Source organism: Homo sapiens, chromosome 1, assembly GCF_000001405.40.
Source record: "Homo sapiens chromosome 1, GRCh38.p14 Primary Assembly".
Taxonomy (NCBI): domain Eukaryota; kingdom Metazoa; phylum Chordata; class Mammalia; order Primates; family Hominidae; genus Homo; species Homo sapiens.
In genome coordinates this window covers 26357090-26375007 of record NC_000001.11, presented here as the reverse complement: position 1 = coordinate 26375007, position 17918 = coordinate 26357090, and the positions used below count along the sequence as shown (strand labels likewise).

The 17918-nt window shown below is 53.3% G+C and overlaps 1 protein-coding gene across 12 annotated transcripts, besides 6 other annotated features; it reads left to right on the top strand.

Annotated features, from left to right (window-relative positions):
- Nucleotides 1-489: 489 nt before the first annotated feature.
- On the top strand, nt 490-13374 carry ZNF683 (zinc finger protein 683). Of its 12 annotated transcripts, XM_006710555.4 has the most exons (8): nt 490-730; nt 2393-2473; nt 6423-6550; nt 7211-7415; nt 9782-10476; nt 11854-11982; nt 12833-12892; nt 12986-13374. In XM_006710555.4, the coding sequence occupies exons 2-8, from the start codon at nt 2461-2463 to the stop codon at nt 13355-13357; spliced, it is 1602 nt and encodes a 533-aa protein (XP_006710618.1). In that variant the 5' UTR covers nt 490-730; nt 2393-2460; the 3' UTR covers nt 13358-13374. The 12 variants fall into 12 exon arrangements, with proteins under 12 accessions (XP_006710618.1, XP_005245885.1, XP_016856443.1 ...); XM_005245828.4 differs by lacking the exon at nt 2393-2473 and having other exon boundaries at nt 6426-6550; XM_017000954.3 differs by lacking the exon at nt 2393-2473.
- Nucleotides 9767-10266: an enhancer, noted in NCBI's record as "H3K4me1 hESC enhancer chr1:26691233-26691732 (GRCh37/hg19 assembly coordinates)". NCBI's record gives its function as "activates a minimal SCP1, AML or CMV promoter by ChIP-STARR-seq in naive H9 embryonic stem cells {active_cell/tissue: H9 hESC(naive)}" and the evidence as "EXISTENCE:reporter gene assay evidence [ECO:0000049][PMID:30033119]".
- Nucleotides 10267-10768: an enhancer, noted in NCBI's record as "H3K4me1 hESC enhancer chr1:26690731-26691232 (GRCh37/hg19 assembly coordinates)". NCBI's record gives its function as "activates a minimal SCP1, AML or CMV promoter by ChIP-STARR-seq in naive H9 embryonic stem cells {active_cell/tissue: H9 hESC(naive)}" and the evidence as "EXISTENCE:reporter gene assay evidence [ECO:0000049][PMID:30033119]".
- Nucleotides 10904-10973: an enhancer, noted in NCBI's record as "active region_499". NCBI's record gives its function as "activates an Ori minimal core promoter by ATAC-STARR-seq in GM12878 lymphoblastoid cells {active_cell/tissue: GM12878}" and the evidence as "EXISTENCE:reporter gene assay evidence [ECO:0000049][PMID:35858748]".
- Nucleotides 12638-13337: an enhancer, noted in NCBI's record as "H3K4me1 hESC enhancer chr1:26688162-26688861 (GRCh37/hg19 assembly coordinates)". NCBI's record gives its function as "activates a minimal SCP1, AML or CMV promoter by ChIP-STARR-seq in primed H9 embryonic stem cells {active_cell/tissue: H9 hESC(primed)}" and the evidence as "EXISTENCE:reporter gene assay evidence [ECO:0000049][PMID:30033119]".
- Nucleotides 12946-13096: a silencer, noted in NCBI's record as "fragment chr1:26688403-26688553 (GRCh37/hg19 assembly coordinates)". NCBI's record gives its function as "represses an EF-1alpha promoter that drives an FKBP-Casp9 reporter gene in an ReSE screen in HepG2 liver carcinoma cells {active_cell/tissue: HepG2}" and the evidence as "EXISTENCE:reporter gene assay evidence [ECO:0000049][PMID:32094911]".
- Nucleotides 15956-16250: a silencer, noted in NCBI's record as "tiled region #4973; K562 Repressive DNase matched - State 8:EnhW". NCBI's record gives its function as "represses a minimal TATA promoter and a strong SV40 promoter by Sharpr-MPRA in K562 cells {active_cell/tissue: K562}" and the evidence as "EXISTENCE:reporter gene assay evidence [ECO:0000049][PMID:27701403]".

Sequence of the window (17918 nt, the reverse complement as noted above, 5' to 3'; positions counted from 1 at the left end):
AAACACTAAACAATTCACATTGACCACTGGGAAATTGCGAAGGAGGAGGAGCTTCCATTTTTCGTTTTTACATTTTCTGTTGTTTGAAATGTTTACCACTAGTATGTATTATTTTGCAACTAACGAAAGGAAGAAGAAAGTGTGCAGTGAGCACCGGGAGCCCAAGGACCCAGCCCCTCCAGCTCTTGTCCCCTAATGTGGAGGCACCTCCTCTTCAGAGGCCTCCCGAATGTGCCCCTTGCACCTGGAGTCAGCTCCCTACTCCCCCTCTGTCCGCACTTCCCAAACCCACTCTGGTGATCATGGGCTTTCCTTGGCTTGGGTCTCTGGTCTGGGTCAAGGCATCTGCTCAGGTTCCTCAGTTAGAAGACCATGGTCCTCCCTCTGTGCTACCTCCCCAGGGCATGTGGGACAAAGTGACATCACATTTAGGCCTGTGACATCACAGGGCATGGATGACACAAGACAGATGATCTGGGAGATGACAGCAAGGAAGGGCTTGGCAGGCAGAGGCTTCTCCACGTGGGAACCTGAGGGAGTCTGTCCTCAGCCCACCTCCTGGGGCATTTCCTAGCCAAGCCAGGGAGCTTTCAGGATTGGAGACCTGGAAATCTCCAAGGCCATTTCCTTTTTTATTTTTTTCTAACAGAGAGGTTGTGCAAAGTGTTCTGAGAGCTGGGAGCAGAGTGTGATGCCAGGAGGGAGCACAGCTGGCAGATGGAAGCCAAAGGTGTGTGGGGAAGTGCCTTGGAGGGGAGGAAACTTCACTCGGTGCCCCTCACTTCCCTGTGATTCCCAGCAAGACAGCAGGGGAGGCGGGCTTGTGGCCTGGGGGTCTGAGAGGGCTCTTCCTTTTAGGGAGTAGAGTTTTGGTGAACTAAGCCCCTCCATTACGCTGAAGGATACTGAGGGGGCCACTGAGGAGTTGGGGGAAGGACTGGGAACAGCATGTGGGAAGAGAGAGCAAGAAAGAAAGAAATGAGGGGGTGGCTGTCGTAGTGGGGGAAGCTGACATGGCCAAGAGATGGCAGAGTCTGAGGTTTACCACTAAAGAGCTCTTGGCTACTTGTTGTGTGACTCTGGATGAGCTGCTAATAATAAAATCCACCACACAGGCTTATTGTGAAGACTAAATGAGATAAAGTTTATGAAGCCCCTAGCACAGTGCCAGACACAGCAAGAAAGCTGTTTGTAAAGGTGGCTATTTACTCTGTTCCTTGGACAATTCCAGCTGGAACCCTGTTACTTTATCTTCTATTCTGGGCATGTATAATGCAGAATTATCAGTTGTAAGCTACAAAAACCATTTCAGGAGGAGTTAAGCAGAAGGAATTTGTTTAAAAGATGTTAGAAAAGCTCGCAGGAGGTCTGAGAAGGCTGGAGAGCAAGGCTTGGAGAATAGGATGGATCAAGGGAGGCTGGAAGTAGACAGGACCATGGCCAAATATCACACCCCAGGACCAGCCCTGCACAGATTCTGCAGCCTCCCCTGAACCCCCTTCTTTCCTTCACTGCCCTGGAAGCCGGATGTGGTACCACAGCCTTTGTTGTAGAGAGGAGTTTCCACAGACCTGCCACCTCAGGACCAGTGGCTTTTTTTATTGTATTTTATTTTATTTTGAGATGGAGCCTCACTCTGTTGCCCAGCCTGGAGTGTAGCAGAGCCATCTCAGCTCACTGCAACCTCCGCCTCCCGGGTTCAAGCAATTCTCCTGCCTCAGTCTCCCAAGTAGCTGGAAATACAGGCACGTGCCACCACACTTGGCTAATTTTTGTATTTTTGTAGAGATGGGGTCCCACCATGTTGGCCAGGCTGGTCTTGAACTCCTGACCTCAAGTGATCTGCCCGCCTCGGCCTCCCAAAGTCCTGGGATTACAGGCGTGAGCCACTGCGCTCAGCCAGTGGCACTAGCTTCTGATCTGCTAGTCTACTGGGCTGCAGTGGAGATTAATGGCTGCTTGGGGCTTTTGTACCCTGGGCCAGACTCACGCACACCAGAATTTGTGTGAGGCCACAGGGGTTATGCCTCTTCTCATGCTCACAAGACTCGGCTTGGCAAGGAAATGTCCCAGGAGGTGGGCTAAGACAGACTCCCTCAGGTTCCCACATGGAGCAGCCTCTGCCTGCCAAGCCCTTCCTTGCTCTCGTCTCCCAGATCATCTGTCTTGTCAGCCTCCATGCCCTGTGATGTCACAGGCCTAAATGTGATGTCACTTTGTCCCACATGCCCTGGGGAGGTAGCACAAAGGGAGGACCATGGTCTTCTAACTGAGGAACCTGAGCAGATGCCTTGACCCAGACCAGAGACCCAAGCCAAGGAAAGCCCATGATCACCAGAGTAGGTTGGGAAGTGCGGATAGAGGGGAAGTAGTTTTTATTTTTTTCTAACAGAGAAGTTGTGCAAGGTGTTCTGAGAGTTGGGAGCAGAGTGTGATGCCAGGAGAGGGCAGAGCTGGCAGATGGAAGCCAAAGGTGTGCGGGTCACCCCTTCTGGGTGGGGACATCTGATCGACCTAGTCCATGTATGCCTGCATGAAGTGCTGGTGAGGGAGGTTGGAATTAAGTATTTGGCCATTTCGGCTTTTATAATGGGAGGTACCTTTTGCCTCCCTCAAGACTCATGTAGGGGAAAAGTTTCAGAGGCTGGGCGTCCAAAAAAACCTGACAGATGTCTACATGGAAAACCAAAATGAGTAGACAGAGGACCCTGTCCTTGAGATGCTCACAAACATGTTGGGATCAGTTATGTGGAGGATGAGTCACAGCCCTAGGGGCTGAGCTGGCAGAGAAACCCCAGGAACATGCCCCAGCCCATGGTGCACAGCCTGAGATGTCCCTGTATATTCTGGGACACCAGGGTGGCGTGGCTGGGGTGCAGATTGATGGCTGGTTGGGGCTTTTGCACCCTGGGCCAGACTCACGCACACCAGAATTTGTGTAAGGCCGCAGGGGTGATGCCTCTTCTCATGCTCACAAGAATAATGACATTGCTCAGGCTAAAAAGCCACTTTCTGGCCTATGAGGTCTCCCTTTTTGTATCTAGACATGTCTTTTCCTTATTTATTAACTTTTTTTAAGACAGGGTCTCGCTCTGTCACCCAGGCTGGAGTGCAGTGGCATGATCTCAGCTCACTGCAGTCTCGACCTCCCTGGCTCAAGTGATCCTCCCACCTCAGCCTCCTGAGTAGCTGGAACAACAGGCATGCGCTACCATGCCTGGCTAATTTTTGTATTTTTTGTAGAGATGGTGTTTCACCATGTTGCTCATGCTGGTCTTGAACTCCTGGGCTCAAGCAGTTGGCCCACCTCAGCCTCCCAAAGTGCTGGGATTACAGATGTGAGCCACCACACCTGGCCTAGTCATGCCTTACACCCATTTTGCTATGTCTATTTTTTTTTTTTTTAAAGAGACAGGGTCTTTCTCTGTCACCCAGGCTAGAGTGCAGTGGCAATATCCTAGTTCACTGCAGCCTTATATTCCTGGGCTCAAGTGATCCTCCTGCCTCAGCCTCCTGAGTAGCTGGGACCAGAGGTGCAAGTCACCATGCCCAGCTAAGTTTTGTATTTTTTGTAGAGATGAGGTCTTGCTTTGTTGCCCAGGCTGATCTCAAACTCCTGGGCTCAAGAGATGGGTCTGCCTTGGTCTCCTGAAGTGCTGGGATTACAGATGTGAGCCACTTCACCTGGCCATGTGCTTGAATTATCTTTTGCCTCTTGGGGCCTCTAGATTAGAGGATAGAACTTTCCAGGGTCAGGAGATCTGAGATGGGACTTGGAGGAGGAAAACGTGTTTGCTGTATCTCTGTGAGATCAGCTGCCTTCTCTGTCCTCTGTCTCATTCCATATCCTTCTATGTTGCCTGTTCTTGTCTCTGCCTGTTCCTGTCCCTACCTGTCACCATCACTGTCTCCCTGTCATCATCAATGCCTATCTTCATCTCAGCTTGGCTCCCCTCCACAGAAGGCTCCCCTGTTCAGCCTTTGAGCCCTACTCTGTCCTCCCGTCCAGCCATCTGGGTACTTTGAGAACAGAAATAACAGCCCGCCCCCCTCACACACACATCCTGAAATTCCAGTAGCCCCAGTTCACTGCAATCCACATCAGCAGGTTGTCCTCCAGAGTTGCCACAGGTAGGCAAAGCTGAGTGGATAGTGCCCCCTTGTCAGACCTTGCAGGGCCCCCAAGCCTGCCTGCCCCCACTTCCTATCTGTGGCAACTTCAAATGTAACACCTTCCTGCCATCTCTCACTCCCACTGGGGCCTCAGCCACAGGCAGCTGTGGCCTGGCTGCCCACCTCCTTCCTTCCCAGCCAGGAGCACTGCTGCAGCACCGAGTGGAGAGCCCCACAGCCAGCAGCCCTTCGGGGGTCCATGGTATTTGCTTTGAGACCTGAAGCAGCGTTGGGAGGAGTGAGGAAAGAGGGAAAGGAGAAGGGGTTTTAGAGGGCTGAGACACTGGAGTGAGGGTCTTAGGGTCTGAGGGGCATTTGGGATTCAAAGAGTGGTCCCTGAGGTGACGGGGAAGGGGTCTTGGGGCATTTGCTGGGCTGAAGTGTTCCCTGTGCTGTGTGGCCTCAGGTGGAAGATGGCAGAGAAGCCTGGTGCTGGATGAGCAGACAGCTGGGCACTCGCGTCTCTCTGTCAGGCCAGTCAGGGGCATCCGGGGGCTTGGTCCACTCATTCAGGCTTTATTCCTGGTGAGAGCGCTGAGCTGGGCAGCCTGGGTGACACGACACTGAGGTGTCCTCAGCTGTCCAGAAGAGCTATCTGGGTGAGCTAGGATGCAGGATTCCCCTTGGTGGGGGGCCTCTGGTTGGTAGAGTCAGGGACCCCTCTCAGCACAGAAGGGGGTGGCTTCTTTGTAGCCCTGAGGAATCTGGAATGTTCCCTCAGATCTCTGCACTTACTTGGAAGTAAGCTCCGTGAGGGCCTTCCTCTCCTCTCAGGAGAGCTCTGCTCTTCACTTCTGATTGGCTAATCTCCATTGATTGATTGATTGATTGATTGATTGAGACAGGGTCTTGCTCTATCCTCGCCCAGGCTAGAGTGTAGTGGTGTGATCTCAGCTCACTGCAGCCACAACCTTCCAGGCTCAAGCAATCTTCCCACCTCAGCCTCCCAAGTAGCTGGGACCACAGGCACAGGCTACTACACCCAGCTAATTTATTTATTTATTTTTGAACCGAGTCTCACTCTGTTGCTCAGACTGGAGTGCAGTGACATGATCTCGGCTACTGCAACCTCCGCCTCTTGGGTTCAAGCGATTCTCTTGCCTCAGCCTCCCTAGTAGCTGGGACTACAGGTGTGAGCCACCACACTCAGCTAATTTTTTTTTTTTGGAGACAAAGTCTTGCTCTGTCACCCAGGCTAGAATGCAGTGGTGCTATCTTGGCTCACTGCAACCTCTGCCTCCCGGGTTCAAGCGATTCTCCTGCCTCAGCCTCCTGAGTAGCTGGGATTACAGGCGTGCGCCACCACACCCGGCTAATTTATGTAGTTTTGGTAGAGACGAGGTTTCACCATGTTCGTCAGGCTGGTCTTGAACTCCCAACCTCAGGTGATCCGCCCGCTTCAGCCTCCCAAAGTGCTGGGATTACAGGCATGAGCCACCGCACCTGGTCTAATTTTAATTTTTGGATTTTTAGTAGAGATGGGGGTTTCACCATGTTAGCCAGGCTGGTCTCGAACTCCTGACCTCAGGTGATCCATCTGCCTGGGTCTCCCTTTTATTTTTTATTTTTTTATTTATTTTATTTTATTTTTAGAAGGAGTCTCATTCTGTTGCCCAGGCTTGAATGCAGTGGCACGATCTTGGCTCACTGCAACCTCCACCTCCCAGGTTCAAGTGATTCTTGTGCCTTGGCCTCCTGAGTAGCTGGGATTATAGGCATGCACCACCGTGACTGGCTAATTTTTGTATTTTTAGTAGAGACAGGGTTTCACCATGTTGCCGAGGTTAGTCTTGAACTCCTGACATCAGGTCATCCAACCGCCTTGGACTCCCAAAGTGCTGGGATTACAGGCCTGAGCCACCCCGCCCACCATATTTTTTATTTTGTAGAGATGGGGGTCTCACTATGTTGCCCAGGCTGGTCTAGAACTCCTGGCCTCAAAAGATCCTTCCTTCTCAGCCTCCCAAAGTGCTGGGATTACAGGCTTGAGCCACGGCACCTGGCCAATCTCTATTTAATCTTCCCACACCCACCAGGAGAGCATCACTGGCTTCTAAATGTCAACATTGAGAGAATCCTTACGCATCAACTAGACCAACCTTCCCATTTTGCGGATAGGGAAACTGAGTCCAGGAAGGGACATGAATAACTTGTGGTCATGCAGCATGTTAATGGGAGAGCCAGTCCTAGAACTCAGACTCCTATTTGGAGGACCTTCACAGCTTACCTCTAACTCACCTGTTTCCCAGCAGGTAATGGGGATATGAAGGAAGAATCAGCTGCACAATTAGGTTGTTGTCATAGGCCCATGGCCCTGGGAGGTACAGGGGGCTCCCTGTCCCCCAGCCTGGACTTCCAGCTCTTCCGAGGTGACCAGGTAAGGTAGAACCCCAGCCTTACCTTTGTGGGTAGTCTGCTTATAGTAGGAGGTGACATTAGGAGGAAAAAGGGGAACGTCTGAAGGGACCTAGATCTCCTTCCCAGTCTGAGCACCCCCTATCCCAGGCACATCATAGGGATGTTTCTTTGAGGAGCCAGACACCCTCTCCCCATGCCTCAGGGGCCCAGACTCTCCTGTGGGGAATAAGAAGCGGAAGCCTCGTGCAGTAGGCTTGGCTGCTATGACCATGGCCTTGGGCCTTAGTGAGCAGGGGCTCAGGGCCATCTTGTGGAGTTTATAGTCTTTGATGGGGATTTTCTTTGTGCTCAACTTGGTGCCATTCAAATTACAGTGATGGTCTGAGATACACTGGGGACCAGGGTGGTCAGAGGTACATGGGTTCGGGGCAGGGAGGGAGAACAGGGCTAGAGAGGGCCCTGGGGACAGGAGGAGGGCAATCTTGTGGTGGGTGGGAAAATCCTGGGGGAAAGAGATCTTTGGATGAGGGAAGAGATGCCATTTGAGTGACAGATATGGAGTGTGGTGGCTGTTTTAGCTTATTCTCCCCTTTGGAAAACAAAATAGGGGTAGGGGCCATCTAAGGGACCCATGGAGTCCCAGTCACCAGCCCCCAAGCCCCTTGCCCCTGCCCTCCAGGTCTTCTCAGCCTGCAGACCACTTCCAGACATGGTGGATGCTCATGGCCCATCCTGTGCCAGCTGGCTGTGTCCCTTGCCCCTGGCACCGGGCAGGTCTGCACTGCTGGCCTGCCTACAGGACCTGGACCTGAACCTGTGCACCCCACAGCCGGCACCCCTGGGCACAGACCTGCAGGGCCTCCAAGAGGACGCCTTGAGCATGAGTAAGCCCAGGGCACCGGGCTGCACCTGCGCCTGGCAGAGGCTGGAGGGTGGGGGGCACTGCTAGGTTTGGGGATGGGTGGTGGAGAGGACGCAGTGTCACTGATGAAGACAGAGCTTAGGCACACTTTACTTCCACATTTTGGCCTTGGAGTTCTGGCCTGAGGGTGCAGGGGGCTTTCGAGTGGTGATACCTAAGCCAGAGAAGCTGGGCACTGGCTTCTCAGGCATGTGTGTGGGAGCTGATGTAGGTATAGCCAAGGTCATGGGGGTTGGGGATGGTGCTTTGTCTGCTTAGAGAGGTGTTTTTTGTTTGTTTGTTTGTTTTTGAGATGGAGTCTCGTTCTGTTGCCCAGGCTGGAGTGCAATGGCATGATCTCCAGTCACCGCAACCTCTGCCTCCCAGGTTCAAGCGATTCTCCTGCCTCAGCCTCTCGGAGTAGCTGGGATTACAGGTGTGCGCCACCACCCCCGGCTAATTTTTGTATTTTTAGTAAAGACAGGGTTTTGCCATGTTGGCCAGGCTGGTCTCGAACTCCTGACCTCAGGTGATCCACCTGCCTCGGTGACCCAAAGTGCTGGAATTATAGATGTGAGCCACTGTGCCCAGCCCTAGAGGGATCTTATAAAAGTACTGGAGGCCGGGCACGGTGGCTCATGCCTGTAATCCCAGCACTTTGGGAGGCTGAGGCGGGCACATCACGAGGTCAGGAGATCGAGACCATCCTGGCTAACACGGTGAAACCCCATCTCTACTAAAAATACAAAAAATTAGCTGGGGGGTGGTGGCAGGTGCCTGTAGTCCCAGCGACTCAGGAGGCTGAGGCAGGAGAATGGCATGAACCTGGGAGGCGGAGCTTGCAGTGAGCCGAGATGGCACCACTGCACTCAGCCTGGGCGACTGAGCGAGACTCCATCTCAAAAAAAAAGCACTGGGCTGGGAGTCAGGGAATTGGGGTTGGAGTCTCGGTTCTGCCCTTTCTATTTCTATGGACTTGGACACAACACCAAGGTCTGGTTTCTTCATCCATAAAAGTGTGATCTCATCTCTGCCTGGGTTCTAGGTTTGTTGTAACACACCATTTCCTTATGTGACGATGACCCCCTGAAGGCAAGGACTCTCTTGCTGTGTCCTTTATTTCTAGGACCCCAGCACAGAGCACAGAGTGAAACGGCTCAGTGAGATTGATTGAGTAAATAAATAAGGATCCAACCAGAAGACAACTTGCTTTTTTTTTTTTTTTTTTTTTTTGAGATAGGCTGGAGTGCAGGGACACAATCATGGCTCACTGCAGCCTCCAACTCCTGGGCTCAAGCAATCCTCTCTCCTCAGCCTCCTGGGTAGCTGGGACTACTACAGACACATGCCACAAACACCCAGCTAATTTTCTTTCTTTCTTTCTTTCTTTTTTTTGAAACAGAGTTTCGCTTTTGTTGCCCAGGCTGGAGTGCAATGGCATGATCTCGGCTCACCGCAATCTCTGCCTCCCGGGTTCAAGTGAATCTTCTGCCTCAGCCTCCCAAGTAGCTGGGATTACAGGCATGTGCCACCATGCCCAGCTAATTTTGCCTTTTTAGTAGAGACGGGGTTTCTCCATGTTGGTCAGGCTGGTCTTGAACTCCCAACCTCAGGTGATCTTCCCGCCTCGGCCTCCCAAAGTGCTGGGATTACAGGCGTGAGCCACCGTGCCCAGCCTTAATTTTCTTATTGTTTTGTAGAGATGGGATTTTGCTTTGTTGCCCAGGCTGGTCTCAAATTCCTAGGCTTAAGCAATCCTCCTGCCTCAGCCTCCCAAAGCACTGGGATTATAGGCATGAGCCACTGCACCTGGCTGACAGTTTATTTTTTAACAGGTTTTTTATTTTAGTACTCTTTATCTAGAATAGCACTGTTTGGTAGAACTCCCTGCAATAATGGGAACATTCTATACCTGTGCTGTCCAATACTATACCTGCTGAGCACTGTAAATGTGACTGGTGCAACTGAGAACTTCATTTTTTATTAGAATCATTGTAATTAATGTAAATCTAGTCATGCATCCAGTGGCTGCCATTTCGGACATAGCAGATCTAGCCTCACCCTTATGTGATCTTATCTGTGCCCATGGCACCTGGATTTATGTCTCCAGTTCAGACCTCTCCTTTAAACTCCAACCCAGTTTATCCATCTGCCCACTTGGCTTCTCAACCTGGGTGTCTAATAGGGACCTTGAACTGCTTTCTCCCCCTGAAATTGTTCAGCACTACAGAAATGCTAGCAGGCTCGCAGGCTGGAGGTCTTTCTCAGCCCCGAGCAGGGCAGGTTTGATGGCGGACAGAACTTCACCCCAGACTGTGGGGATCTGACCGCCTTCCTTTTCCTGCTTAGAGCACGAGCCACCAGGGCTGCAGGCCAGCTCCACCGATGACAAGAAATTCACAGTCAAGTACCCACAGAACAAGGACAAGCTGGGAAAACAGCCAGAAAGAGCTGGCGAGGGGGCCCCCTGCCCAGCCTTCTCCTCTCATAACAGCTCTTCCCCACCACCGCTGCAGAACAGAAAGAGCCCCAGCCCCTTGGCTTTCTGCCCCTGTCCCCCTGTCAACTCCATCTCCAAGGAGCTCCCATTTCTCCTCCACGCCTTCTACCCTGGATACCCACTTCTCCTGCCTCCACCCCACCTGTTCACCTATGGGGCCCTACCTTCTGACCAATGTCCCCACCTCCTCATGCTGCCCCAAGACCCCTCCTACCCCACCATGGCTATGCCTAGCCTGCTGATGATGGTCAATGAGCTGGGGCACCCCAGCGCTCGGTGGGAGACCCTGCTTCCCTACCCAGGGGCCTTCCAAGCCTCTGGCCAAGCTCTGCCTTCCCAGGCCCGAAATCCAGGTGCTGGAGCTGCCCCAACCGACTCCCCAGGCCTGGAGCGTGGTGGCATGGCATCTCCAGCAAAGCGGGTCCCATTGAGTTCCCAGACAGGCACCGCAGCCTTGCCTTACCCGCTGAAAAAGAAGAATGGCAAAATCCTGTACGAGTGCAACATATGTGGCAAGAGCTTTGGGCAGCTCTCCAATCTCAAGGTATCTGCCTCCTGGGCTCTGCTTCTCCCCTCAACATCCTTCAGGGCCCCCCATGCACCCGAGTCTGCTTCTAGAAGCAAGGACCTCAAAGCTAGAAGGCACTCCTGGGCAACCTCTAGGGCCAAGTGACCTTGGATGGTTCATTTGGGTGGAGATATCGGATAAGACGGCCACCAAAGTCCTCGCCACCCTAGAGGACTGCCTATGAGATCGTCTCATTTAGGTTAAAATGGGGAGACTGAGGCTTTTAATGGGCAGCGTTTGCCTAAGATTACCCCGATTTAACGGTAGTGTTAGGTTTAGTCTCTCAACATTTGCTCTGGGCAAAGAAAGCCCTTACCTGGACAACCATCCTTTCTGGACTCCAAGTTAAGCTTCTTATTTATTTTTTTGGGCAGTCAGATGAGGGAATGGGTAGATTTTGGTGAGTCTAGACCACAGTCCGATGACCAACCTTTTTCAAGTGGGATCCCACAAATCTGCGCGACCGCCGATGCGATTGGCCTCACCATCCGCATCGCCCAGCAGGGGGCGCCCAGGGAGCGCATCTCAGTGCGTTAGCAAAGGGCGGAAACTGTGCGCTCTCTGGCTAGTTCTGAAGTTGAAGGCACATTGTGGTTATGGGGAGAAGCCCTGCTGGATCCTGCAGGGCAGGAGTTCTTAAACTTTCATGAGCCTCAGACCACCTGGAGAGCTAGTAAACATGCAGATTCCTAGAGTTTTTGTGATCCTCCCACCTCAGCCTCCAGAGTAGCTCCCAGCCCCAGAGTTATCTTTTTTTTTTTTTTTTTTTTCCATATGGAGTCTCATTCTGTCGCCCACGCTGGTCTCAAACTCCTGGGCTTAAGGGATTCTCCCACTTCATCCTCCCCGGTAGCTGGGACGAAGGGTAAACACCACCACTCCTCGTTAACTTTCAAATTTTTTGTGCATACGGGGTCCCAATGTGTTTCTCAGGCTGGTATTGAACTCCTGGGCTCCATTGATCCTCCCTCCTCGGCCTCCCAAAATGCTGGGATTACAGCCACGAGAGTGTGCCCAGCCCTCCCAGAGTTTTTGATTCAGCAGGTCTGGGGCCGGACTTGAGAACCTGCATTTCTAACATGCTCCCAAAGTGTGATACCAGCACTGCTGGTCTGTGAACCACATTTTGAATAGCAGTGTTCCACAATATACCTGGGGTACCTCTTACCCCTGGCCTTCTGACCACTGCCATCTCCCCTACAGGGCAGCAGAAAGAGTAGAGTATCCTGGGGATGATGGGCCCTGAGGGAGATGACGGGGAGGGAGAGAGAAGTGGGCAGAGATTTGGAGAGGACCTCAGGCCCTGCTAGGGGTGCTGGGCAGTTGGCAGCATTTATCCCGCATCTGACTCAGGTCCACCTGCGTGTGCACAGTGGAGAGCGTCCATTCCAGTGTGCCTTGTGCCAGAAGAGCTTCACTCAACTTGCCCACCTGCAGAAGCACCACCTGGTGCACACTGGGGAGCGGCCCCACAAGTGCTCGGTGAGATCCTTCTCCCCCTACTATGTACTCCTATAGGCTGGAGAGGAGTTTTAGGCCCTTGGAGGGCTGGCACCTGCAGCCTCCATTCCCCAGTCCTCCTGAGCAAGTGGAGATGGGAAGGGGGAGTGAAAATTGAAAATGACTCCTCTCAGCCTGGAATGGGTAATACTGAAGGTCACTCCAAAGGCCTGCAGGAGGGAGAGAACAATGAAGTTGGAGGTCATGGAGAGTGTATGTATACCCATTATCTACCTCCCTGAGTTATTGGAGGAGTTAATGCTATAGTGTACCCAGAGTATCCAAGTAGGAAAACTATTAGCTTGATGTCAGCTCCCTCCTTCTGTGAGCCTGGCCACATCCCTCGGGAAATCAGAAGGGCAGGGGTTCTTTCCCATTTTACAGGGGCAGAAATGAAAGCAGTGCCATGATTATGAGTCCGGGCTGCATAGTCGGGCCACCTGTGTTCAAATCCTAGCTCTGCCTTCAACTTGCTGTGTGACCTTTGGCTAGTGGCTTCACTCCTCTGAGACTCTGCTTTCTTACTATAATATAGGACTTGTACTAATACTTAGTCATGCTTCCCTAGGGTCCTGGGGAAGACTAGATGAAACCAACTGCAGGCATGTGGCAGCCCCCTGTAAATGTTCATTACAATCTACTGAAGCTGCAGCTTCATACTTAAGAGTTCTATGTGATTATCTCATTCAGTCCACCATATCTATGAAGCTAGGTATTAATAACCAATGTTACCAATGAGGAGAGGAAGGCTCAGAGAGGAGAAGTTACTTTTACAAGGTCACACATGGAGTAAAGGACACTAACCCAAGTTGGCCTGGTTCTAATGTGCTAGATACCGTGGGTTCCAGGAAGAAATCACTGGAAAAGCTTCCAGGCCTGGAGGGAAAGAGAGGTGGGTCATGGGTATTTCCAAGATGAGGAGAGGGAGTAGAATGCCTGAGCCAGCCCAGAGGACAAAGCTGATGCCAGTGCTCGTTCCCGTCAGGTGTGCCACAAGCGCTTCAGCAGCTCCAGTAACCTCAAGACCCACCTGCGCCTGCACTCCGGGGCCCGGCCCTTCCAGTGCAGTGTCTGCCGGAGTCGCTTCACCCAGCACATCCACCTGAAGCTGCACCATCGGCTGCATGCCCCACAGCCCTGTGGCCTGGTGCACACCCAGCTGCCCCTGGCCTCTCTGGCCTGCCTTGCCCAATGGCACCAGGGGGCACTAGATCTTATGGCGGTGGCATCTGAGAAACACATGGGCTATGACATAGATGAGGTCAAAGTGTCCTCGACATCCCAGGGGAAAGCAAGAGCAGTGAGCCTGAGCAGTGCCGGGACTCCCCTGGTGATGGGGCAGGACCAGAACAATTAAAAATGTTTCTTCTGTCATGCTTTGAGGCTTCCTGAGCTTCAACAGTTTAGGTGTGGGGTGGGGGTAATGGGGGAAAGCCACTGTGTTTGCCAGACCTCACACTTCACCCGGGAGCAGGTCAGGGGACTCAGCCAGGAAGAGCCTGTGCTGCCTGTGTGTGCGGTGCTTGCCTGCAGCCATCTGCTTCAGCAAGGCTTGAGTTCCACTCCCCGTCTAGGACCAGGCTCTCCTCGTCTATTCACCGACGGACAGTCCAGCCCTCCAGCGCGCTGCAGGGTGCCGACCGTGCTGTCCAGCCTGGGCACATTGTCCTGTTCCCAACACCTGTGCAGAGGGTCCCGCTGCCCCCACTGCCTGGGTCTCACCGTTCCTATTGGCCACTTGCACCTCAGCCGGTACTCCCTGCATGGTCGTTGCGAGGTGGAGGGGGAGGGTGCCCCTCATTGTGGGTCTATTGAAGAAGGAGACTCGAGATATCAGGGTCCACTCACGACCCAGAAGCATGATGTCCTCTGTCAACCGGGTCTAGTTACCACAACACTCTGGGCTAACAGGGTGCCAGGCTCAGGGAAGGCGTGGAGGCTGCAGCCAGATAAGGGCTACAGGCAGAGAAGAACTGGCAGAGACCCTGGGGAGCTGAGGCCTGATGGCCCTTCTCCCTGTAGGCCCGGAGGATCCTCTGAAATGTACAAGGTGCTCCCCATCCCCACTCGAGTCAGAGAGGCCGCGCCAGGCGGAAAAGGGTATTGCCTGGGAGGCAGGAGGCCCAGGTTAGGATCACAATCGATGATAGTTGTTATTAAATAAGAGCGATTTGCGGACAGAGTGGGGTTCTCTGGCCAACTTCCAGGAGATGGCACCGTCCGCACCCCGTGGATTTCCGTGCGGCTTCCCCACCGCGGTGGTGACGGGATTCCCGCTCCCGGCCGTAAGTGCTTCCCATAGGGAGGAGCAAGCCCCACTGACCGTGGCAGAACAATGGCAGGGTGGGCTTCAGCCCCACCAGTAGCTAAGGTCCCGGTTCCAAGCCCACCCGTGTCACACTTTGGGCCCCGCGCGGGACGCCAACCACTCGCGTTAGACCCTCCCATTCGGCAAGACCACGCCCATTCCGAACCATCCACCCCTCCCCGCAACCGCCCCCCTTGCCCAGCTCCTCCTGCTCCTGGGGGATCCCCCTCGCTCGCTCAGCCCCGCCTCCCCGCCTCTGTTCGCCCCAGGCCACTTTCCCTGTCCGGCCTCATGCAGGTCTTGCTCTCGGGCTAGCTCACCTGGGGCTGCGGGGGGCCCTGGCGCCTCCAGGGGCTTAAAGATGTAGCGCGGACCGGGCGGAGAACCACGCCCCCGGGGTGGGGGCAAGGGCTCTTGCCGAACGTCTGGGGTCTGCGGTCCGAGGAGAACAATGAGGTTGGGGGTCCTGGAGAGTGCCCCAGGGCACGGGCAGCATCTGGATCGGGTCACCGCCCGCATGGGCTGCGGGTGGGGCCGCTGTTTGCTAGGGGGGCGGGCCGGAGGAGGCATTTCTCCGCAAATGCAGCGGATGCGGGTAGCCCCGGCGGTCAGGTGCTCCGACGGCCGGAGCCCCGGGTCTTTCACTCGCCATGGCCGAGCGGTGCGGAGGCCCGGGGGCCTGCCTGGCCCACCTTTTGGCTGGGTTAGGGGTCCGGAGGGAGCACAGAGGGAAAGAGATCTCGGAGGCCACATCCCGGGAGAGGTGAGGAGAGATGGAGAAAGGCCGCGTGGGGAGCCTCTGGGCCCTAGACCGTGTGTGTGTGTGTGTGTGTGTGTGTGTGTGTGTGTGAGAGAGAGAGAGAGAGAGAGAGAGAGAGTAGTGATCAAATAAGCGTGTATGTGTATCTCTCGAAGCATAAAAATATATGTGTCTTGGGAGTCCGAGGCGGGCGGATCACGAGGTCAAGAGATTGAGACCATCCTGGCCAAACAACATGGTGAAACCCCGCCTCTACTAAAAATACAAAAATTAGCTGGGTGTGGTGGCGCACTCCTGTAGTCCCAGCTACTCCGGAGGCAGAGGCAGGAGAACCGCTTGAGCCCGGGAGGCAGAGGTTGCAGTGAGCCGAGATCGAGCCACCGCACTCCAGCCTGGCGACAGAGCGAGACACCGTCTCCAAAAAAAAGAAGAAGAAGAAGAAGAAAAAAATATATATGTATACACACACACACACGTGTGTGTGTGTGTGTGTGTGTGAATGTACCACGATTTTGGATGTGAATGTGGAATGGTCCCTGTGCTCTTTTAAAACTTTACAACTTATGTGGACAGTTTCCTAAGTCAGGCAGGTAGCCTGCAGACGACAGAGACAGTTTAAGGGCAAAGGCAGTAGTTCTTCCCTCCCCTATGGACTTTGATTCTCGCATCACAGCTGATTTCTTCATATCCCTTTGTCATGAACCTGACAGGTTCCGTCTGAGACTGTACTGCATTTGCACTTAGATGCCACGGAGAGGTTTTCCCCTGTCGTCCCCACCCCTGGAGATAGCTCTAGATTGTAATAACAATAAGCCTTTATTTGCCACATGCTTCATACTTCACCTGGATTATCTCACGTAATCCTCACAGCAGCCCTATGAAGCAGGTATTCCACATGATTCAGATAAGGAAATGGAGGTTCAGAGAGGTGACGTCACCTGCCCAAAGCCACACAGCTGGGGCGTGGTGTAGCTGGGACACAGGCTTTGGCAGTCTGACTTCAGAGCCCACATTTCTGAAGCTTTGTTGCCTGCAGGGACTGCCAGACTGCAAGACCCGGCTCCTAGCTGTAGGTGCCACTGGTTATATGACCCTGAGCAGATTGCTTCACCTCTCTGAGCCCGTGCACTGGTAGCTGATGTCTGAGGGGTTGTGTGTGTGTGTGTTAGAGTGTTGTGGTTGATCAAATAAGTGTGTATGAGTATCTTGAAGCATAAAAATATGTGTATCAATGTACCACGATTTTGGATGTTAATGTGGAATGCTCCCTGTGCTCTTATATCCTTTATGTATTTACTTATTTGTTTTTTAAGATGGAATCTTGCTCTGTTGCCCAGGATGGAGTGCAGTGGCACTATCGCATCTCACTGCAGCCTTGACCTCCCCAGGCTCAGGTGATCCTCCCACCTCAGCCTTCTGAGTAGCTGGGATTACAGGCACATGCCACCACGCCGGGCTGATTTTTTGTAGAGACAAGGTTTCACCATGTTCCCCAGGCTGATCTCGAACTCTTGGACTCAAGCAGTCTGCCCACCTCAGCCTCCCAAAGTGCCAGGATTACAGGTGTGAGCCACTGCACCTGGCTCTCTTTTCTTTTGATTTTTTTAAATTTTTTTTTAATAGAATCAGGGTCTTGCTCTGTCACCCAGGCTGGAATGCAGTGTCACTATCATAGGACACTGCATCCTCAAACTCCTCCTGCCTCAGCCTCCCAAGTAGCTAGGAACATGCCAACATGTCCACCCAATCTTTTTATTTTTTGTAGAGTTGGAATTTGGCTATGTTGCTCAGCCTGGTCTCAAACTCCTGAGCTCTACTGATTTGGCTTGGCCTCCCATCGTGCTGGGATTATGGGTTTGAGCTACCAGACCCAGTCCCTTGTGCTCTTTTTTTGTTTTGCTTTGTTTTGTTTTGTTTCATTTTTGAGATGGGAGTCTCACTCTGTTGCCCAGGCTGGGGTGCAGTGGCATGATCTCGGCTCACTGCAACCTCTGCCTCCCAGGTTCAAGTGATCCTCCTGCCTCAGCCTCCTGAGTAGCTGGGACTACAAGCACGTGCCTCCACGCCCAGCTAATTTTTGTATTTTTAGTAGAGACAGGGTTTCACCATATTGACCAGGCTGATCTCGAACTCTTGATCTTAAGTGATCCGCCCGCCTCGGCCTCCCAAAGTGCTGGGATTACAGGCGTGAGCCACCGCGCCTGGCCCCTTGTGCTCTTTTAAAACTTTAAAATGTTTTAAACAGAAGGAAAAACATCCTGTGGAAGGCCAAGTCAAAAGGCAGGGAAGGCAGTATTGAGAATCCGAGAGCCCCACAGCTCCCCGGTCCTACATCCGTGAAGAGCATAGGGTGTGCTCTCACGCATGGGTGTTTATGTGTCTGCCCAGTTACCCGGCAATTTGTTCTGATCTTATCATGGCACAGGTGTCTTCAGCCTGCGCCAGGGGGACTGGGGGTGTGGTGGGGGCAAAATGAGGGCAGGGATTTGTGCTGCTCTGTCACCCTAAAGAGAGAGGAGAGGAAGGTCCAGTCACCCTATGCCTGGAAGCCTGGGTGCCCTGGGGTGTCCACACCCTGCCAGTGCCCTGCCCGCCCCCGCCTGGAAGACACGCCCTCCCCCTTTACCCTGTCTGGCAGAAACCTGCCCTATAGGCCCAGGCGGCACTGCCCCTCCCTCTCTGGACTTGGAGGTGCAAATGAGTCAGGGGTGGGGAGGGCCAGGAGGGGTTGCTCAGGCAATCTGCAGGGCTGGAGTGATGATTCTTGGCCATGCTACACTTGCTCTCCGATCTCACCCGCCCTGGGAATGGGAACCCGGTACCGAGGCAGGGGCCTCTGACCCCTGCTGA

Bases quoted from the DNA above. Each gene is read 5' to 3' on its own strand.
- ZNF683 (XM_017000954.3), top strand. The intron at 6,551-7,210 runs GTAAGGTAGAAC...CCTGCCCTCCAG, and splicing joins AGCTCTTCCGAGGTGACCAG to GTCTTCTCAGCCTGCAGACC. The intron at 7,416-9,781 runs GTAAGCCCAGGG...TTTCCTGCTTAG, and splicing joins AGAGGACGCCTTGAGCATGA to AGCACGAGCCACCAGGGCTG.